Raw genomic sequence first — 24,417 nt, forward strand, 5'->3', positions numbered from 1 at the left:
AAATTCATTAATCCACATGTTTACAATAAAATGTGAGTACATTAAGATGCTTTAGAAATAATTTCAGCCTGGGCAACACGACAAAATCTCAGCTGTAAAAAAACCAACCAATCAACCAAACAAACAAAAATCAGCTGGGCATGGTGGTACTCACCTGTTGTCCCAGCTACTCAGGAGGGTGAGACAGCCAGGTTGCCCAGGCTGGTCTAGAGCTCCTGGACTCAAGCATCCCAAAGTGCTGGAATTACAGGTGTGAGCCACCAGGCCCAGTCTACTTTTCTTCTAATTATTAAGTTGGAAAAAAATAGGAATTTAACAGGAGCTTCAGGTTTGTTGGCAGTTTAATTTTAAAAAAAGAAATGACATTCCAACTAAGGCAGTCTCTGGTTTTGAAGTATAACTATTTTTTTTTTTAAATTTAAAGACAAGGTCTCACTCTGTCACCCAGGCTGGAGTACAGTGGCTTGATCTTGGCTCACTGCAGCCTTGACCTCCTGGGCTCAAGCAAATCCTCAATCTCCTGATTAGCCTGGACTACAGGTTCATGCCACCATGCCTGGCTAATTTTTGTATGTTTGTATTTTTTTTTGTAGAGGTAGAGTCTTATATGTTGCCTAGGCTGATCTCAAACTCCTGGTTTCAAGTGATCCTCCCTCAGCCTCCAAAAGTGCTAGGATTACAGGCATGAGCCATTGGGCCTGGCATAGATTGATTTTCAATTAGCAGTGATCAGTAGTCAGAAGTATATATTAGTATTCTTTTATTCAGTTTATCTGTGCAATAATTTTATAAAGTGGCTGAAAAAAGTCATGCATTCACCCAGAATACCAAATACCTCAGGGTAAAAAAGAAAAGCAAAGTTAATCTAGACTAAGTAGCCATTCTGGTGTGAACCTCATTTCCAACAATAATGATTCTTACCTTTTGGTGAAAGTTGAAGGGCTGCCTGATCACTGACTACATCCACATGCTTACCGTCTATCTGTAAGTGAACCAAAACTTTTCATTACTTAAGTTGAATAATATTAACTCAGTAAATATTTAATAAAGAAAAATAAGCTACTTACTGAAGATGTACAATGACTTGAAGAGGATATAGCTGTCATGGTCGTTCTAGACTGCACTAATAAGGGTTTTACTTTCTGAAAGACACAAAAGATATGTACTGTGTTATCAGGAGGAAATAATAGTCAAATCAAATGGACGTTAATGTTCTCCAGCCTTTAGTTGACCAAGATATGGAAACTATGCTTGTCACTTATTTGCTCAAATATGGCTGCGGAAATCCTTTTCTTCATTCCAATGGGATAGAGCCTCTTTCTTCTTCAGACCACTTTGAAAGAAAATTTAAGAAAACGATTTTCCTTAGTATCTCTTCTGACTCTACTTCCTTTTGACTGTCCCTACAATTGAGACTTACTACTTGCAACTGGTTGGAAGCCACCAAAATTAGCCAGGGGCAGACTGACACCCCACATGGCTGGGTACCCCTCTGAGACGAAGCTTCCAGAGGAACGATCAGGCAGTAACATTTGCTGTTCAGCAATATTCACTGTTCTGCAGCCTCCGCTGCTGATACCCGGGTAAACAGGGTCTGAAGTAGACCTCTAGCAAACTCCAACAGACCTGCAGCTGAGGGTCCTGAGTGTTAGAAGGAAAACGAACAAACAGAAAGGACATCCACACCAAAACCCCATCTGTACATCACCATCATCAAAGACCAAAGGTAGATAAAACGACAAGGATGGGGAAAAAACAGAGCAGAAAAGCTGAAAATTCTAAAAATCAGAGCTCCTCTCCCCCTCCAAAGGAACTCAGCTCCTCGCCAGCAATGGAACAAAGCGGGACGGAGAATGACTTTGACGAGTTGAGAGAAGAAGGCTTCAGGCGATCAAACTTCTCCGAGCTAAAGGAGGAAGTTAGAACCCATCGCAAAGAAGCTAAAAACCTTGAAAAAAGATGAGACGAATGGCTAACTAGAATAACTAGTGTAGAGAAGTCCTTAAAGGACGTGATGGAGCTGAAAACCATGGCACAAGAACTACGTGACGAATGCAGAAGCTTTAGTAGCCGATTCGATCAAATGGAAGAAAAAGTATCAGTGATTGAAGATCAAATGAATGAAATGAAGCGAGAAGTTTAGAGAAAAAAGAGTAAAAAGAAACAAAGCCTCCAAGAAATATGGGACTATGTGAAAAGACCAAATCTATGTCTGATTGGTGTACCTGAAAGTGATGGGGAGAATGGAAACAAGTTGGAAAACACTCTGCAGGATATTATCCAGGAGAACTTCCCCAACCTAGCAAGGCAGGCCGACATTCAAATTCAGGAAATACAGAGAACACCACAAAGATACTCCTCGAGAAGAGCAACTCCAAGACACATAATAGTCAGATTCACCAAAATTGAAATGAAGGAAAAAATGTTAAGGGCAGTCAGAGAGAAAGGTCGGGTTACCCACAAAGGGAAGCCCATCAGACTAACAGCGGATCTCTCGGCAGAAACTCTACAAGCCAGAAGAGAGTAGGGGCCAATATTCAACATTCTTAAAGAAAATAATTTTCAACCCAGAATTTCATATCCAGCCAAACTAAGCTTCATAAGTGAAGGAGAAATAAAATCCTTTACAGACAAGCAAATGCTGAGAGATTTTGTCACCACCAGGCCTGCCCTAAAAGAGCTCCTGAAGGAAGTGCTAAACATAGAAAGGAACAACCAGTACCAGCCACTGCAAAAACATGCCAAATTGTAAAGACCATTAAGGCTAGGAAGAAACTGCATCAACCAACGAGCAAAATAACCAGCTAACATCATAATGACAGGATCAAATTCACACATAACAATATTAACCATAAATGTAAATGGGCTAAATGCTCCAATTAAAAGACACAGACTGGCAAATTGGAAAAAGAGTCAAGACCCATCAGTGTGCTGCATTCAGGAGACCTACCTCACGTGCAGAGACACACATAGGCTCAAAATAAAGGGACGGAGGAAGATCTACCAAGCAAATGGAAAACAAAAAAAGGCAAGGGTTGCAATCCTAGTCTCTGATAAAACAGACTTTAAACCAACAAAGTTCAAAAAAGACAAAGCAGGCCATTACGTAATGGTAAAGGGATCAATTCAACGAGAAGAGCTAGCTATCCTAAATATATATGCACCCAATACAGGAGCAGCCAGATTCATAAAGCAAGTCCTTAGAGACCTACAAAGAGACTTAGACTCCCACACAATAATAATGGGAGACTTTGACACCCCACTGTCAACAAGAGACCTACAAAGAGACTTAGACTCACACACAATAATAATGGGAGACTTTAACACCCCACTGTCAACATTAGACAGATCAACGAGACAGAAAGTTAACAAGGATATCCAGGAATTGAACTCAGCTCTGCACCAAGCAGACCTAATAGACATCTACAGAACTCTCCACCCCAAATCAACAGAATATACATTCTTCTCAGCACCACATTGCACTTATTCCAAAATTCACCACATAGTGGGAAGTAAAGCACTCCTCAGCAAATGTAAAAGAACACAAATTATAACAAACTGTCTCTCAGAGCACAGTGCAATCAAACTAGAACTCAGGATTAAGAAACTCACTCAAAACCACTCAACTACATGGAAACTGAACAACCTGCTCCTGGATGACTACTGGGTACATAACAAAATGAAGGCAGAAATAAAGATGTTCTTTGAAACCAACGAGAACAAGGACACAACATACCAGAATCTCTGGGACACATTTAAAGCAGTGTGTAGAGGGAAATTTATCACACTAAATGCCCACAAGAGAAAGCAGGAAAGATCTAAAATTGACACCCCAACCTCACAACTAAAAGAACTAGAGAAACAAGAGCAAATACATTCAAAAGCTAGCAGAAGACAAGAAATAACTAAGATCAGAGCAGAACTGAAGGAGATACAGACGCAAAAAACCCTTCAAAAAATCAATGAATCCAGGAGGTGGTTTCCTGAAAAGATCAACAAAATTGATAGAACACTAGCAAGACTAATAAAGAAGAAAAGAGAGAAGAATCAAATAGATGCAATAAAAAATGATAAAGGGGATATCACCACCGATCCCACAGAAACACAAACTACCATCACAGAATACTATAAACACCTCTATGCAAATAAACTAGAAAATCTAGAAGAAATGGAAAAATTCCTGGACACATACACCTTCCCAAGACTTAACCAGGAAGAAGTTGAATCCCTGAATAGACCAATAACAGGATCTGAAATTGAGGCAATAATTAATAGCCTTCCAACCAAAAAAAGTCCAGGACCAGACGGATTCACAGCCAAATTCTGCCAGAGGTTCAAGGAGGAGCTGGAACCATTCCTTCTGAAACTATTCCAATCAATAGAAAAAGAGGGAATCCTCCCTAACTCATTTTATGAGGCCAGCATCATCCTGATACCAAAGCCTGGCAGACACACAACAAAAGAAAATTTTAGACCAATATCCCTGATGAACATCGATGCAAAAATCCTCAATAAAATACTGGCAAACCAAATCCAGCAGCACATCAAAAAGCTTATCCAACATGATCAAGTGGGCTTCATCCCTGGGATGCAAGGCTGGTTCAACATATGCAAATCAATAAATGTAATCCAGCATATAAACAGAACCAAAGACAAAAACCACATGATTATCTCAATAGATGCAGAAAAGGCCTTTGACAAAATTCAACAGCCCTTCATGCTAAAAACTCTCAATAAATTAGGTATTGATGGGACATATCTCAAAATAATAAGAGCTATTTATGACAAACCCACAGCCAATATCACACTGAATAGGCAAAAACTGGAAGCAGTCCCTTTGAAAACTGGCACAAGACAGGAATGCCTTCTCTCACCACTCCTATTCAACATAATGTTGGAAGTTCTGGCCAGGGCAATCAGGCAGGAGAAAGAAATAAATGATACTTAATTTGGAAAAGAGGAAGTCAAATTGTCCCTGTTTGCAGATGACATGATTGTATATCTAGAAAACCCCATCGTCTCAGCCTAAAATCTCCTTAAGCTGATAAGCAACTTCAGCAACGTCTCAGGATACAAAATCAATGTGCAAAAATAACAAGCATTCTTATACACCAATAACAGACAAACAGAGAGCCCAATCATGAGTGAACTCCCATTCATAATTGCTTCAAAGAGAATAAAATACCTAGGAATCCAACTTACAAGGGATGTGAAGGACCTCTTCAAGGAGAACTACAAACCACTGCTCATCGAAATCAAAGAGGACACAAACAAATGGAAGAACATTCCATGCTCATGGATAGGAAGAATCAATATCGTGAAAATGGCCATACCGCCCAAGGGAATTTATAGATTCAATGCCATTCCCATCAAGCTACCAATGACTTTTTTTCACAAAACTGGAAAAAACTACTTTAAAGTTCATATGGAACCAAAAAAGAGCCCTCATTGCCAAGACAATCCTAAGCCAAAAGAACAAAGCTGGAGGCATCACACTACCTGACTTCAAACTATACTACAAGGCTACAGTAACCAAAAAAGCATGGTACTGGTACCAAACCAGAGATATAGACCAATGGAACAGAATAGAGCCCTCAGAAATAATACCACACATCTACAACCATCTGATCTTTGACAAACCTGACAAAAACAAGAAATGGGGAAAGGATTCCCTATTTAATAAATGGTGCTGGGAAAACTGGCTAGCCATATATAGAAAGCTGAAACTGGATCCCTTCCTTAACCTTATACAAAAATTAATTCAAGATGGATTAAAGATTTAAACGTTAGACCTAAAACCATAAAAACCCTAGAAGAAAACCTAGGCAATACCATTCAGGACATAGGCATGGGCAAGGACTTCATCTCTAAAACACCAAAAGCAATGGCAACAAAAGCCAAAATTGATGAATGGGATCTGATTAAACTAAAGAGCTTCTGCACAGCAAAAGAAACTACCATCAGAGTGAACAGGCAACCACAAAATGGGAGAAAATTTTTGCAATCTACTCTTCTGACAAAGGGCTAATATCCAGAATCTACAAAGAACTCAAACAAATTTACAAGAAAAAAACAACCCCATCAAAAAGTGGGTGAAGGATATGAACAGACACTTCTCGAAAGAAGACATTTATGCAGCCAAAAAAACATGAAAAAATGCTCATCATCACTAGCCATCAGAGAAATGCAAATCAAAACCACAATGAGATACCATCTCACACCAATTAGAATGGTGATCATTAAAAAGCCAGGAAACAACAGGTGCTGGAGACGATGAGGTGATATAGGAACATTTTTACACTGTTGGTGGGACAGTAAACTAGTTCAACCATTGTGGAAGACAGTGTGGCGATTCCTCAAGGATCTAGAACTAGAAATACCATTTGACCCAGCCATTCCATTACTGGCTATATACCCAAATGATTATAAATCATGCTGCTATAAAGACACATGCACACGTATGTTCACTGCGGCACTATTCACAATAGCAAAGACTTGGAACCAACCCAAATGTCCATCAATGATAGACTGGATTAAGAAAATGTGGGACATATACACCATGGAATACTATGCAGCCATATAAAGGATGATTTCATGTCCTTTTTAGGGACATGGATGAAGCTGGAAACCATCATTCTCAGCAAACTATCACAAGGACAAAAAACCAAACACCGCATGTTCTCACTCATAGATGGGAATTGAACAATGAGAACACTTGGACACAGGAAGGGGGACATCATACACCGAGGCCTGTCATGGGGTGGGGGGAGGGGGGAGGGATAGCATTAGGAGATATACCTAATGTAAATGATGAGTTAACGGGTGCAGCACATCAACATGGCACATGTATACATATGTTACAAACCTGCACATTATGCACATGTTCCCTAGAACTTAAAGTATAATAATAATAAAAAAAGTTTGTCATTACATAATGGTAAAATGTTCAATTTCCCAGGAAGATACAATTATAAAATTGTATGCATCTAATAATACAGACTAAAATTACATGTGGCAAAAACTGATTACAAACTACTTAGAGTAATATGCAAATCATGTAAGTATAATAGCATAAAAATACAAGGTACCTAAGATTACATCTAAAAAAAGGTACTTTCAAGACTTCTATAGAGTTATAAAACTCTATTGAAATAATACCTAAACAAAATATATAACATATTTACAGATTAGAAGACTCAGTGATCAAGATGCCAATTGTGCCTAAATTGAACTGTAGATTTAACATAATTCTAATTGAAATACCAATTAAATTTGTTTTGTTTTGTTTCTTTTGTTTTGTTTTTTTCTGTGAATATTGACAATCCGATTCTAAAATTTACATGGAAATGCAAAGATCCAATAAAGCTGGGGCACTCTTGCAAAACAGGGCATGAGCATTAGCCTTATCAGATAAGATTTAGATATTAAATCAGTGTTATATTGGTGCAGGAAAAAAAACAGTGAAACAGATTGAGTCAGAATAGACTCATATATATGAGCCCTTAATAATGACAGGTGGAATTATATATCAAGGGAGAAGACAGACTTTTTATTAAATGGATACTTCAGATGGTTATTTATAATAAAAGGAAATGAAACCAGATGTCTATCTCTCTATACACTAATATCAATTCTAAATGGATTAAATTTGTAAATATGAAAAGCAAAACAAGCCAAAAGTTTAAAGACCATAGAGAATAATACATTTGTGATTAAATATTGGATGAACTCTTTTTAAAGAAGGCAGAAAAAAATGTAAAGACAAAAAGGAAAAGATTAAGTCAGAATAACATTAATATTGAGAACATTTATTTATTACAAAAGCCAGAAAAAGATTAAAAACTTAATCCACAAACTGAAAGAAGACATTTGCAATACATATAACTGGTAAAGGATTAGTATCCAAGTTATATAAATAATTCCTATGAAAAAATAAATGTGAAATAAACCAATAGAATCAAAAGGCTGAAACCTGCAGTACCTAAAAGAGGAAACCTGAATGGTCAATAAACATTTAAAAAGATGATCACTTTCATCAGTAATCAGGAAAAGGCAAAAAAAATTATAAACACACACATACACGTAAACTCCAAAACCATGAGTAAGCATTATACAATAACAGGTTGGCAAAAATGATGAAGTCTGGCAATATCAGTGCTGAAGACCATATGGAACACTAGAAACTTTCATCTGTTCCTGGTTAGAGGGTCAGAGTAATATTACTTTGGAAAACTATCTGGCATTAGCTTCTGTGGCAGAGGCTATTTATTGTCCTTCAATATCTAATCTCCTCCTTTCATTTTTTTGGAGACAGGGTCTTGCTCTATTGCCCAGGCTGGAGGGCAAAGGCACAATCATGGCTCACTGTGGGCTTGACCTCCCAGGCTCAAGCTATCCTCCCAGCTCAGTCTCAGGCACGTGCCACCATGCCCAGCTGATTTTTTTTTCTATTTTTTGTAGAGACAGAGTCTCACTTTGTTGCCCAGGCTGGTCTCAAACTCTTGGGCTTTAGTTAGGTATTTGGCTGCATAGACAGAGAGCACCTTTCTCAGTCTGTCTTGCAATTGGATGCAGTTCTAGGTCTAGGATCAGACCTGTGGGACACAAGTAGAAGTGATATGTGCAATTTCTGGGTCATATCCTTAAGGATAAATATTCTTGCCCTGGACTTTCTCTTTCTGGAGAAAGTCTAGAACCCATGGACATGAAGTTGACCACCTTTATTTATGTGGGTGAGTAAAATATCTTAGGAGATGTCAGAGCAGTAAGATTGAAGGAACCTGTGTACCACTTTATGGAGTACTGCTCCTCATGGGGCATTATCCTGCCTGGAGCCACTTGCTTCTTCACTGTAACATGAATGAAGCAGCCTTCCATCTATTTAAGTCAGTGTATTTTTTGTTGTTGCAATCACAGCAGCTTACCCATAGCAAGTGAACTTACCAGTACTCTTATGACCAGCAATTCTGTTATGAGTATAAAACCTGGAAGAGCTCCTGTATCTGTGTATCAGGTGAAACTAGAAGAATGCTGAGAGCAATAATACTCATAATAGTAAAAAGTGAGAACCAACCTAAGTGTTGATGAGCAGCAGAATGGGTAAATAAGTTGTGGTATATTCGTGTATTAGAATATTTGCAATGGGTGAATCACAACCACTAGCATCAGCATGAATGAATCTTAGAATTATAATGTTGAGAAAATGGAGCAAAATCACAGAACAATGTGTGCATTTTTCATTTACTTATTTTTTATTTCTAGAAAGCTTAAAAACCGGCAAAATTCAACAACATACCGCTTAGAACTACATGCACAAGTGATAAAACTATGAAGAAAATTAAGAAAAAATTAGAGCAATAGTTCCCTCCAGGAGGAAATGAAGAGGAATGCAATTGGTGGGCTTCTGGGGCATGGTAATAATCTAGCTATGGCCTTGCTCTTGGGAATGCGGGCATTCGTGTTATTATCAATCTTTAAATTGTGTGTATGTGTTTTCATTCATCCTTTTGTTATTCATGGGTTATTTAACAGTTTGAAAAACATGCATACAAAAAAACATGAAACAACATAATTTAGACTCGAGACAAAATAAACTCTTCTCTACTTAGACTTGACCCCAAATTAAGAGATTAAGAATGGGGAACCTTACTCCCTGGATAAAAGAATAGGCTGAGAAAAGGCTAGGATAAAAATATTTGCATAAAGCATAAGAAAATTACTAACTATGCAATAATTAAAATAAATATTTGAGATAGCAAAGAGTAGAGGTGAAATGGAGAGAACAGAACAAGAATGTAGAGCAATGTTCCCTGGCATTTAGTTTGCCACGGTATACATAAAAACACACTATTCACACAGAGCACTGGGATAAATCAACAAAGTTGCTCATGGGCTTAGACTATTGGATCAGAGCTTCAGGTTACTCTAGTAATGCCCTAAACCCTGCCACTTGGAGGACCAAGGAGAATCAATATCCCAGCGTACCTGAAACCTCTTCAGGAAACTTTGAAGGGAGGTACAAACCAGAAAAGTTTCCAAAAAATGTCAAGGAAAAGAACAAAGAGGATAACATGACTTGAAAGAGAATGTCATTAACTATGGAGGACAGAAAAATAGGTATCTGACCCACAATAGTGTTTCTGAAAAAGAAACAAAAACAGATCCCAGATCCCACAACAGCAGTCATTAAAAGTGTACATAATGGGCATGGTGGCTCATACCTGCAATCCTAGCACTTTGGGAGGCTGAGGCGGGAGGATCACTTGAGGCCAGGAGTTCAAGACCAGCCTGGGCAACATAGTGAGACTTTGTCTCTAAAGAATATAAAAAAATTAGCCAAGTGTGATGGTGCACACCTGCAGTCCCAGCTACTCAGGAGGCTGAGGTAAGACAATCACTTGAGCTCAGAGGTTTGATGTTACAGTGAGCTATGATCATGTTACTGCACTCCAGTCTGGGTGACAGAGGAAGACTCTGTCTTTAAAAGAAAAAGAAAAGTGTACATAAGAAACATGTCTGAGTTGAAGAAAAGCACTATCAGAGAGGCTCATTTTATTCAAGAGAAATTAATAAAATAATGTTTACTCATATCCTGATGACATCTTTTTAAATTTCAAGGTTAAAAAACACAACATACAAATTGCCAAAATGGGGAAGGTGGGCTAATTAGCAACAAACAAAAATTAAACTGGCCTTAGTCAGGTCAAGACATTGCAAAGTGGGTAGAATACTTCCTCCAGAACAAAAGGAAAAGACTCAAATTCATGGTCCAGTTTATAAGAAATAAATCAAAACTAAGAACTCAAGACCTGTGGAAGTCATGATTTTTAAAAAGTAGCTGGTGAGGTTAAACATAAACATATAAATGTAAGTATAAATAATTGCTATTCAAGTAGTTGGAGAGTTGAAAGCAGAAAGTAGTTAACCAAAAATACTTTCGTGTGATAAAAAGAATAACATAATCATGATGTGGTTCTCTACAAAGAGTAAATTAACAAAGACTAGAAGGAAGAGGGGAATATATTGATGAAATTAGGGCTGAGACGAAGTTCAGGGAACAAAAACACATATATCTTCTTGTCTTGCAGAATGTTTTAAGACTCAAAATTTACTTGGTTTTTGGTTTTGATAATTTCAGAAATGTAGTGGGTACTTGAGTTTACCTTAAAGTTTAGCATTACAATATAGGAAATAAAAACAAGTAAAATGCAGTTCATATTACATGAGCCAGGAAACAAACAAAAAGAGCAGGATGCCAGAAATATATCACACATGTCACCTATGTTGATAAATTCACATAGTTTCAGTTTGCCAATTAAGTGTAAATAAATGAAGGTGAGATTTTAAAAACTAAAATCTAGTCATGTTATTATAAAAGAACACTTACACATGGTTGGTGGAAATGTAAATTAGTTCCACCACAGTGAAAAATAGTGTGGCGATTCCTGCAAGACCTAAAAACAGAACTACCATTTGACCCAGCAATCCCATTACTGGGCATATACACAAAGGAATATAAATTGTTCTATCATAAAGACACATGCACACATATGTTAATTGCAGCACTATTCACAATAGCAAAGACATGGAATCAACTTAAATGCCCATCAATGATATACTGGATAATGAAAATGTGGTACATACACACCATGGAATACTATGCAGCCATGTCAAAGAATGAGATCTTGTCCTCTGCAGGAACATGGGTAGAGCTGGAGGCCATTATCCTTAGCAAAATAATGCGGGAACAGAAAACCAAATACTGCATGTTCTCCCTTATAAATGGTGAGAGCTACATGATGAGAACACATGGACATATAGAGGGAAACAACTACATTGAGGCCTACCAGAGGGAGGAGGATGGGAGGAGGAAGAAGATCAGGAAAAATAACTAATGGGTTCCGGACTTAACACCTGGCTGAAGAAATAATCTGTACAACAAACCCCCATGATACAAGTTTACCTATATAACAAACCTGCACATGTACCTCTGAACTTCAAATATAAGTTAAATAATGAGTTTCAAGTCAAGGCTAAAAAAAAAAAAAGGTAAATAAGGTCGGGCACAGTGGCTCACGCCTGTAATCCCAGCACTTTGGGGGGCTGAGGCAGGCAGATCATGAGGTCAAGAGATTGAGACCACTCTGGTCAACATGGTGAAACCCTGTCTCTACTAAAAATACAAAATTAGCCTGGTGTGGTGGTACATGCCCATAATCCCAGCTACTCGGGAGGCTGAGGCAGGAGAATTGCTTGAACCCGGGAGGCGGAGGTTGCGGTGAGCCGAGATCGCACCATTGCACTCCAGCCTGAGGAACAAGAGCGAAATTCCATCTCAAAAAAAAAAAAAAAAAAAAGCTAAATAAAAATAAATAAATAAAAGGATTTACATTACCTGATTTCAAGATTTACTAGGAAAGCTATGTTAATTTAGACAGTGCGATATTGGCAAAAGGACTGACAAATAAACCAATGGAAAAGAATAGCGTAGTTGGAAATAGACTCATACATAGTCAATTGATCTAGAAAAACGGAACTGGTGAAATTCAATGAAAAAAGACAAGATCAATATTATAAGAAATATATACAGAATGTGAGATATTGTCACAGACACAGAGAATACAATCTGCCACAGAAAAAATAACTAAGTTGTCTTCATTAAAATAAAAATATCTGACCTTCAAGGGACACCATTCAGAAAATAGAAGGAAAAATTATAGACTGAGGAAAAAAATGTTTGTAATACATATATCTGACAAAGGACTTGTATTCAGAATATATAACAAAATGCTACAATTCAATAACAGTTAAAAATTGACAAAAATACAGGAATAGAGGAATGGGCAGTTGTTTTTTAAATGAGTGTGGAGCCTCAGGTTTGCAAGATGGAAAAGAGTTGTGGAATTTGGTTGAACAATTTGGATGTTTACGACACTACTGAACTGTACATTTAAAAATGGCTAAAATGACAAATTTTCTGTTATGTGCATTTAGCCACAAGTTTTAAAAAGTCTTAAGTAGATCCTTCAAAAAAGAAGACCTAAGAATGACCAATCAGCACATGAAAAGATGCTCAACGTCATTAATTAGGGAAATGCAAATTAAAATTACAGTGAGATAACATTTTAAAATAGTTAAAATTTAAAAACTAACAATATTGGGTGGGCACTGTGGCTCACACATGTAATCCCAGCACTTAGGGAGGCCAAGGTGGGTGGATCACGAGGTCAGGAGTTCGAGACCAGCCTGGCCAACATGGTGAAATCTGTCTCCACCAAAAATACAAAAATTGGCTGGGCATGGTGGCTCAAGCCTGTAATCCCAGCACTTTGGGAGGCCGAGGCGGGCGGATCACAAGGTCAGGAGATCGAGACCATCCTGGCTAACACAGTGAAACCCCGTCTCTACTAAAAATACAAAAAAATTAGCCGGGCTTGGTGGCAGGCACCTGTAATCCCAGCTACTCGGGAGGCTGAGGCAGGAGAATGGTGTGAACCCGGGAGGCGGAGCTTGCAGTGAGCTGAGATTGCGCCACTGCACTCCAACCTGGGCGACAGAGCGAGACTCCCTCTCGGGGGAAAAAAAAAAAAAAAAAAAAAAAAAAAAAATTAGCCAGGTGTGGTGGCGGGTGCCTGTAATCCCAGCTACTCAGGAGGCTGAGGCAGAGAATTGCTTGAACCTGGGAGGCGGAAGTTGCAGTGAGACGAGATCGTGCCACTGCACTCCAGCCTGGCAACAGAGTGAGACTCTGTCTCAAAACAAAACAAAACAAAACAAACAAAAAACAAACAAAAAAACAACAATATCAAGTTTTTAGGGATGTGGAGCAAATGGAACTCTCAAAGATTGCTGGTGTGAGGGTAAAACGATGCAGTCACTTTGGAGTACTGGCAATTTTGTTATTTTTTGTAAAAAACTTTGGCCGGGCGTGGTGGCTCACACCTGTAATCCCAGCCTTTTGGGAGCCCAAGGTGGGTGGATCACCTGAGGTCAGGAGTTTGAGATCAGCCTGGTCAACATGGTGAAACCCATCTCTACTAAAAATACAAAAATTAGCCAGGCTTGGTGGTGCATGCCTGTAATTCCAGCTACTCAGGAGGCTGAGGCAGGAGAATCGCTTAAACCTGGGAGGTGGAGGTTGCAGTGAGCCAAGATCGTGCCATTGTACTCCAGCTTGGGTGACAGTGCAAGACTCCGTCTCAAAACAAAACAGAAAAACAACTTTTATTTTAGGTTTAGGGGGTACATGGCAGGTTTGTTACACAGGTAAATTGTGTATCATGGGGGTTTGCTGTTCAGATTACTTCATCACCCAGGTAGTAAGCATAGTATCCGACAGGTAGTTTTTTAATCCTCACTCTCCTCCCACCTCCACCCTCAAGTAGGCCCCCATGTCTGTTCCTTTGTGTCCATGTGTACTCAATGTTTAGCTCTCACTTATAAGTGAGAACATGTGGTATTTGGTTTTCTGCTTCTGTGTTAGGTCACTTAGGATAATGGCCTCCAGCTCCATTCATGTTGCTGCAAAGGACATGATCTCGTTCTTTTTTTATGGCTGCGTCATATTCCATGGTGTATATGTACCACATTTTCTTTGTCCAGTCTACCATTGATGGGCATTTAGGTTGATTCCATGTCTTTGCTATTGTGAATGGTGCAGCAACGAACATGTGCATGCATGTGTCTTGTGGTTTCTTATGCAGTTAAACACACACACTTCCTGTGTCCTCGCCATTCCACTCCTACCTGAGAGATATTAAAACAAACTTTCACAAGTGATTTGTAAGAGAATGTTTATAGCAGCTTTTTTTTTCATAATAGCCCTAACTGGAAAGAGCTCATTTGTCCAATGAGGCCAGATGGATAAACAAATTATGGTTTATTCATTCAGTAGAATACTACTCAGCATTACAAAGGAACTTAAGAAGGAACAACTGCCATGGATACATGCAATAACATGGGTGGATCTTAAAAGTATTGTGCTGTGTAAAATGGGCCAGACATAGCAAAGTATAAACTGTGTGAGTCCATCTGCATAAATTTAAGAACAGGCAAAACTAATCTGTAGTGATAGAAATCAAAACAACGCTTATTTGGTGTGGTGATGGGGGCAATGTATTGTCTGCAAAGGGACATGAGGGAGCTTGCAGGGATGATGGAAATGCTCAATGCCTTGACTTAGATGATGGTTACAAAGCAAAACTCTTCAAATGGCACACTTACTACTTGTGCATTTAACCATATGTAAAATATACCCCAATAGTATTATCATAGCAAACTTTTTCTTTCATAGCATTTATCCAAATTTATAATTTAAATTCTGGTGTTTCCCTATTAATGCCTATCTTTTTCACACTGTAGATCAGGCACTATTCTAAGCTCTGCAAGTAAAATAGTTTATAAGATGGACCAGTCTGTCACCTCATGGAATTTACAGTCTGTGAAGCAAAGAGCCATTTTTGTCTTGTTCACTATGTTACACTCAGCATGTAGCTTGGTGCTTGGTACGTATGTGTACTCAACAAATATTTGTACGGTGGATGAATGACTAGAGAGAGGGAACCAAGGGACAGTGTTAGTGGATCTAAACTCACACATTCACTTGCTTACTCTTTCTCTCCCCTTCCCCATCAGTTTTTCTTCAGTATTTGAAAATCTGTATACACTCTGATGAGTATCTCATGTGTCAACATACTGTGTGGACGTATAGATGAAGATTCATAAACTTTGAATCCAGGAAACAGTGGCATATGGATGGATTCTAGACCAGATGGAGCTCCATTAGCCTCCATGGGAAGGTGAATTGCATGGCCACTTGAGGGCAGGGCCAAGACTGTACTCAGGAAAAATACTGGATCTACTCCTGTGCTTGAATTGGTATAATTTTGAGATTTAGAAGCCTGTTTCACAAAGCCTGGATAATTCAAATTTGGACTAGAAAAGGTTACCAGCTAATAATCATAAAAAAGCCTGATTTTGAGTGACACCATATTCTCCTGGATCCTCCAACGTTTTATTTGCCGAACTGATTAAATTTCTAAAATGAGAATTACTCCAACTAAAATTATAACCTGCAGGGTGAGATGAGGAAAAACCAAGAGGGGAAAAAAGACACTATATATATTCCTATCTATGTAGATCAGTTTGGGAACATTTCAGAGAAATCAAGTATTAAAATCCTCAGCAAGGTTACTATATAAACTTAGTTATAAACAGGAATTAATTTAATATTATCCTGCAAGTGTACTTAAGTTCTTTGATCTCCTGCAGCAACTTAAATTTAGAAAATGGTCTTAAAGTGACAAATGTTGAAAAAAAATTTCAGAAAGAAGATGATTTTAGATTGTATGCCTCTCGAAGCAAAAAAAAAGAGCATATATTTATATGTTTCTTAGGCCCTTCCCCACAAACCCGACTTGTCCTCAGAGCACTTAGCATCACAGCAGGTTCTCAACAAAGTTTGTCTCATTTTGGTTTACTTATTAATTGAAATTTACTGGATATATTTCTATACCAGGTATCAATTACCTTAACATTTAGAACCCCCAGATGAAAACAGTAAGTCAAATAGGCTAAATAATAGCATAATTTAGAATTGGGCTTTATCTATTACACGAATTCTAATGTGAAATTGAATGGCTTGGCACTAGGAACAGATTCTCCTATCTTCTTTTTTTCCTTTGGATGTGACTGGAAGCTTAGACTCCAAGCTTTGATATTTCCCAATATTACATCCGTGGCCACAAATGGGCAGACTGACAGATATGCTCCAGGCAGAATGAGTGCCCGCTCCTCTGAAATTTATACTTGCCCCATTGTAGCTCAACCATATTGCGCTGTAGCAATTTGTTTACACATCTACCTCTCACACTGGACTGAGCTCTTTGGGTTCAGGCACTTTGTCTTAACACCCTCAGCATCTAGCAGTGACTGCCTTGTACTATCTCTAGAGCCTGTAATGACAGGGGCTTGATAAACCTTAAACGAGAACAGAAAGAAACAGACAGGTATATTCAAAGAGACAAACAGCATCTAAACATTACATGCACTTACAATATAATTGAAGGATGTGTCAGCAAGCACTGCAAACTGACGAAACAGTGTGTGCCTTGTAAACATCTCATTCTTAAGGACATGAAAGCTGAAATTTTAAAAATGATGAAACTTAAAATGTATGTAAATCATAGCATAAAGCAAATAAGCATTATGTTAATGAGGTAGGAAACTACATTAAAATTTTAAAATATTACCAAATAAAAATATAAAAATATTAGCATGAACATACTACCTCTTTCATTTTTAAAACTACATGTTGCCTGGGCAAAATGGTGAAACCCCATCTTTACAAACAATAAAAAAAAAATAACCAGGCATGCGTGGTGGTACATGCCTGTAGTCCCAGCAATTCAGAAGGCTGAGGTGGGAGGTTCACCTGAGTCTGGGAGGTCAAGGCTGCAGTGAGCCGTGATTGCACCACTGCACTCCAGCCTGGACGACAGAGTGAGACCCTGTCTGACAAAAAACCAAAAACCACACACACACACACAAACCACACAAACTTACATGTTTTTCAGCTCAGAAAAGGCATAGAAGTAATGGCAATGATCACCCCTACTGCCCAGACTCTGATTTTAAAAAGCATTTCTCACCAAAATAATTCAGGGCATTTTTCAGAAATGACTGTTTCTAGATCTAAGGCAATAAATGCACAGAATGAACCTGGGACATCTTATTCTACCAGAATTCAACAAAGTCATCAAAGGTTATGTCAAAAGAACACAGTAATCAACTTGAAAGAGTTCCTGTTGACTTAAGATTGGAGAAATCACACACCAAAGATAATAAGAACTACAGTGTGTTGAAACATCACACATATATTAGCTATTTGGGAAATTCTCAGCCTATCTTGATTGCAAGCGATGCGAAAATTAGGAGATTTGCTGTCAGGAAGACGTACTCTGTAGAGAAGGCAAGAGAATGGCTGGACAGCCTTCAGAGTGTAGGAAGAAACAAAAATGACAGCATTTACTCACACAAAAGACTCTTTGAAGAGATTAAATGTGTGACATCCCTTCAGCCATCTCAGCAGAGTCCAAAATAGAGATGAGATTATCTAGGAAAGACCTGAGAAGGAGCCTCCCATCTAATGAAGTGACTTCCCATGACAAACATGGGAGACGTACAAGATTTTGAGAATGTTATATCAGCAACAACACTGCCAGATTGCACTGAAAAGGACAGAGAAAGGAAATAAATGAAATAAGGTTATTGGATTCCCAAAATTCTATGGGCAGGAAACAGATTGATAAAACTACTCAGGGTCAAACGTGCTACCTTTCATGAAAGAAGATATTTGACTCAGTAGTAGTGCTTTGGGCCCAGAAGGTGGAACCTTGAGTCACAGAGAATTAGCCCAGGCCTTGAAACCTAATGGCGTTATGCTGAAACAATTTCAAAATTGTTTGGACTAGTGACTCAATTTTCCCCTTCTACTTTCTCCCCTTTCAAACAAGAATGTCTATAGCTATTATTGACATTTATGTCAATACAATGCCTTTCGCACTATTGTATTTGGGAGCAAGTAATCTATAATTTCACAAGTCTACATATGGAGAGAAATTTTGTCCCAGGATGAATTATAACCAGAGTCTCACCATACCTAATTTAGATGATGCAAACTAGGACTTCTGAAGCTGATAACACTTAGATGAAAGTTTGGACTTGAGTTGGTGCTGTAATGGGTTGAGACTTTGGGGGATATTGGGATGTGGTAAATGCATTTTGCATGCAGGATAGGCATGATTATTTGGGGGCCAGAAGGTTGACTGTAGTAGAGTGAACATTGCCCCCCATGAAGATATCTACTTTCTAATTTCTGGAAATTTTGAGTATGCTACCTAACAAAGTAAAAAGAACTTTGCAGATGTGGTAAGTTACATATCTTGAGATAGAGTAATTATTCTAGATTATTTAGTGGGCCCAATGTAATCACAAGGGTTTTTTTTAAAGAAGGAAGCAGGAGGATCAGAGTAGATAAGAATGAAGCAGAAATAATACATGGAAAGATAATAGCTAAGAATGTTCCAAAATTCAGAAATGACATTGACCCATAGATTCAAGAGCTAGACCAGATAAATAAAAGTAACTATACCTAGGGACATCATAATAAAACTAATGATAACAAAAGATCAAGGGAAAAAATTTAAAGTACCTAGACATGAAAAAAAAGCAACAGTAAGACTGACAGCTGACTTGTCAACAGCAACAATGAAGGCCAAAGAACTGACATTTTTTTTTTTTAATTTACTCATTTTGAGATGGAGTCTAGCTCTGTTGCCCAGGCTGGAGTGCAGTGGCACAATCTTGGCTCACTGCAACTTCCACCTCCTGGGTTCAAGCAATTCTCCTGCCTCAGCCTCCTAAGTAGCTGGGATTACAGGTGCCTGCCACCACGCCCAGCTTATTTTTGTATTTTTAGTAGAGATGGGGTTTCACTGTGTTGTGAGGCTGGTCTTGAACTCCTGACCTCATGATCCACCCACCTCGGCCTCCCAAAGTGCTCGGATTACAAGCGTGAGCCACCATGCCCGGCCTACTGACATTATTAATTGGCTGAAAAAATAACTGCCAAGATAGAACCCTATACTTGGCAAAAACTTTCTTCAATAATGAAGATAAAATAATGACATTTTCCTCCAAAGAAAAGCTGAGAGAATTATTTGCCAGCAAACCTGTATTAAAAATGAAGAAACAAAAAATGAAAGAGAGCTATTCAGGCAGCAAGAAAATGATTTCAGATGAAAACACAATAAGCAGAAAAAAATGAGAAGCCCAACAAACAGTAAATGTGTGAGTAAATATAAATGAATACTGAGTATGCCAAACAACAATAGCAACCTTTCATGGAGTTAAAAAAACAGAGAGAATTAAAATTAAAATGTAGGAGAGAATTAAATGGAGTGAAAATAGTCTAAGGTTCTAGAATACTTGGGAAATTGGTATCAACAGTAATTTCTAAAACACTGCAATAAGCTAAGAATAAAATTTTACAAAGGAGAAATTTCAAAAAAAGAAAATGAATAACAAATTAATAAAAGAAAATATGGAATAAAAAAGGTTCATTGGTTCAAAACAAGGCAAAAAGGAGAGAAGAAGAAATATAAAACAGGTCAAATAGAAAACAACTTGTTAAGTAGTAAACACAAACCCAACTATCGTATTTTCACTTAAAGTAAATAAATAAAGTATGACAATTAAATAAAATAAAACTGACAGATTAGGTTAGAAACCCAATTATATGCTGATTACAAGAAACACATTCAAATATAGAAATAAGATAGGCTGAAAGAAAAAAGTTAGAAAAAAATACACCATGCACTCTTAACCAAATAGTTAAGCAGACATTAAGCTAAAGAGCATTACTAAAGATAAAAGCATTTCATAATGATAGATATTACTGATAACTTCACAAGATGAGATCAGTATCTAAATTGTGAGTACCCAACAACTAAGATGTAAACTATGTAAAGTAAAAATGGACAGATTAAAATAAGAAATAGATACATCTATAATCATGGTAGAAAATTTAATACTTCTATTTTGATAGTTGGATATGATGCCAAAAAATTAATAAGTATGTAAAAGATGGAAACAACAAAATTAATGGGTTGACCTCATTGAAATATTTAGAACTCTTCACCCATCAGTGATAAAATTTTTCATTCCTGGCCAGGCATGGTGGCTTATGCCTGTAATCCCAGCACGTTGGGAGGCTGAGGTGGGCGGATCATCTGAGGTCAGGAGTTTGAGACCAGCCTGACCAACATGGAGAAATCCCGTCTCTACTAAAAATAGAAAAAAAATTAGCCAGGCATGGTGGCGCATGCCTGTAATCCCAGCTACTCGGGAGGCTGAGGCAGGAGAATTGCTTGAACCTGGGAGGCGGAGGTTGCGGTGAGCTGAGATCACGCCATTGCACTCCAGCCTGGGCAACAAGAGCAAAATCTCTGGCTCAAAAAAAAAAAAAAAAATTCATTCTTTTCAAGAATAAAAACATTTTTAAAAACTGGCCATAGCTTGAACCATAAAACAAACATGAAGACCATGAAGACATTTTAACAGATTAAAATTATTCAGAGTAAGTACTCTGAGCACAAGAGAATTAAACTAGAACTATAACTAGCTAATCTTCAACTTACTGGAAATAAAACATATTACTTACTCTTTTTTATCTTGAGAAAAGGTCCCACTCTGTCACCCAGGCTAGAGTGCAGTGGCATGAACAGGGCTTACGGCAGCCTTGACCTCGTGGGTCCAGGCAATCTTCCTGCCTCAGCCTCCCATGTAACTGGGACCACAGGTGCATGCCACGACACCCAGCTAATTTTTTTATTTTTTGTATAGATGGGTTTCACTTTGTTGCCCAGGCTGGTCTCAAACTCCTGAGCTCAAGCAATCCTTCTGCCTTGGTCTCTCAAAGTGCTGGGATTACAGGCATGAGCCACTGTGCCCAGCCCATATTACTTCTAAATAACCCATGGATCAAAGAAGAAATCAAATTGAATTTAGAAAATATTTTGTTTGAGTGATAATAAATATATTGTATGTCACAACTTGTGGGAGGCAGCTCAAACAATACTTAGAAGAAAATATATAGTGTTAAATGCATATATTCAAAGAAAAGAAGTCTGAAAAATCAATGAGTTAGGCTTCCTTCTTGAAATCTAGTAAAAAGACAGCAAATAAAACATTAAAAATTAGAAGGAAACAAGATAAAAGCAAAAGTCAATTACTCTATCAAAAAACCAGCAGAGCTAATAAATTCAGTAAAGTTACAGGATACAAAATAAACATACAAAAATCAATTGTGTTTGTATATACCAATAAGCTATCCAAAAAGAAATTTTTTAAAAAATTCCATTTATAACAGTGTCAAAAAATAAAATACTTAGGTATAAATTTAACCAACAAGGTAAAAGATCTGTATCTTGAAAACTATAAAGCACTGAAGAAAGAAGTTAAAGTAGATACAAATAAATAAAACGATATCTTGTATTCATGAATTAAAAGAAATAATATTGTCAAGATGTCTATACTACCCAAAGTAATCTACAGATTAAATGCAATTGCTACCAAAATTGCAATGGCATTTTTCACAGAAGTAGGAAAAATAATCCTAAAATTTTATGGAAACATAGAAGACCCCAAATGGCTAGCCAAAGCACTTTTGAGAAAAAGGAACAAAGCTGGAGGCAGCTCACTTCCTGATTTGAGAAACTATGTTACAAAGCTATAGTAATCAAAACAGTATGATTGTACTGACATGAAAATAGACACTTAGACCAATGGAACAGATTAGAGAGCTCAGAAATAAGCTCATGCATATATGGTCAACTAATTTTTGACAAGAGTGACAAGAATATACAATGGGGGAAAGGATAGTCTCTTCAATAAATGATGTTGAAGAAAGAGGGTATCTACATGAAAAAGGATGAAATTAGACCCCTATATTACACAGTACACAAAAATTAACTCAAAATGGATTAAAGGCATAAACATAAGTCCTGAAACCATAAAATTCCTAGAAGAAAACATAGGAGGGAAAGCTTTTTCACATTGGCCTTTGGCAATGATTTTTTGAATATAATACCAGATGCACAAGCAACAAAAAACAAGAACGAATAAGTAGGATTATTTCAAACTATAAAGCTTCCTCACAGCAAAGAAAACAACAAAATGAAAAGACAACTTAAGGAATGGAAGAAAACATTTGCAAACCATACATCTTATCTGATAAGGGGTTAATATCCAAAATATGTAAGAAACTCAGCTTAACAGCAAGAGAACAACCTGATTTAAAAGTGAACAAAGGAACTGAATAGACATTTCCCCAAAGAAGACACACAAATGGCCAAGTATATGAAAAATTGCTCAATATCACTTATCATCAGGAAAATTCAAATCAAAACCACAATAAGATATCACCTCACTCTTGTTAGAATGGCTACTATCAGAAAGACAAAAGATAACAAGTGCTGGTGAGGATGTGGAGAAAAGGGAACCCTTGCACACTGTTGATGGGAATGTAAATAGTTCAGCCACTGTGGAAATCCGTCTGAGATTTCTCAAAGAACTTAAAATAGAACTACTCTTTGATCCAGCAACTCCACTGCTGGGTATATACCCAAAGGAGTATAAATTGTTCTACCATAAGGACACATGCACATGCATGTTCATTGCAGCACTGTTCACAATAGCAAAGACATGAAATCAACCTAGATGCCCATCAATGGTAAACTGGATAAAAAAATACGGTACACATATGCGATGGAATACTGCACAGTCATAAAAAGAATGAAATCATGTCCTTTGCAGCAATATGGATGGAGCTGGAAGCCATTATCGTAAACAAACTAACACAGGAACAGAAAACCAAATACCACATGTTCACATTTATAAGTGGGAGCAAAACATTGAGGACACATAGACACAAAGATGGGAACAACAGACATCAGGGCCTATTTGAGGGTGGAGGTTTGGAGGAGAGTGAGGAATGAAAAACTACCTATCAGGTACTAGGCTGATTACCTGGGTGACAAAATTATCTGTACACCAAACCCCTAAGACATGCAAGTTACCCATGTAACAAACCTGCACACATATCCCCTGACCTAAAATAAAAGTTAGAAAGGAAAAAAATGTTTTTTAATTAAAATTAAAATTTTTAAAAAGTCAATGAAAAGACATATGAGAAAAATTCAGCAAAGGCAGTTATTTCTTTGAAATAAATAACACAAAATTGATAACTATCAATAGACTAAGAAAAAAGGAGAAAAACACAAATTCTCAGGAATGAAACACAAATATCAGGAATGAAAAAGGGACATCACCAGATCTTACAGATACAGTCATGCACTGCATAATGATGTTTGGTCAAAGATGGACTGCATATACAATGGTGGTCCCATAAGATTATAATGGAGCTGAAAAGTTCTCACTGCCTAGTAACGTCTTGACAATCCTGACCCTGTGTAGGCTTAGGCTAGTGTGTGTGTTTGTATCTTAGTTTTTAACAAGAAAGTTTAAAACGTAAAAAATAAAAAGAAAAAAACACAGACAAAAGCTTAAAGAATAAGAATATAAAGGAAAAAATTATATAAGTATGTTTGAGACAGGGTCTCACTCTGTCACCCAGGTTGGAGTGCAGGGTGTGATCACAACTTACTGCAGCCTCAACCTCCTGGGCTCAAGCGATCCTCCCACCTGTCAGGCTGCCATGTAGCTGGGACTACAGGTGTGCACCACCACGTGAAAAAAAATCTTGTATAGCTGTACAATATGTTTGTGTTTAAAGCTGTGTTATTACAAAAGAGTCAAAAAGTTTTAAAAATTAGAGAGTTTATAAAGTAAAAAAATCAC

At 37.6% G+C, this 24,417-nt stretch overlaps 1 protein-coding gene across 6 annotated transcripts in view; it reads right to left on the bottom strand.

The window, feature by feature from the left end:
• Positions 1–24,417, bottom strand: part of C10orf67 (chromosome 10 open reading frame 67) — a 142,882-nt gene that overhangs the window by 20,761 nt on the left and 97,704 nt on the right. For 5 of the 6 annotated variants that reach the window (XM_017016031.2, NM_001365862.2, XM_047424968.1 and 2 more), the window contains 3 exons: positions 17,053–17,140; positions 1,068–1,142; positions 922–982 (listed from right to left, as the gene is read on the bottom strand). In XM_017016031.2, coding sequence (XP_016871520.1) covers positions 922–982; positions 1,068–1,142; positions 17,053–17,140 — 224 coding nt within the window. Of the gene's footprint in view, positions 1–921; positions 983–1,064; positions 1,143–17,052; positions 17,141–24,417 lie in introns of those variants that run through there. The other variant, XM_047424970.1, reaches the window with a different exon arrangement.

Source organism: Homo sapiens, chromosome 10 (assembly GCF_000001405.40).
Source record: "Homo sapiens chromosome 10, GRCh38.p14 Primary Assembly".
Classification (NCBI taxonomy): domain Eukaryota; kingdom Metazoa; phylum Chordata; class Mammalia; order Primates; family Hominidae; genus Homo; species Homo sapiens.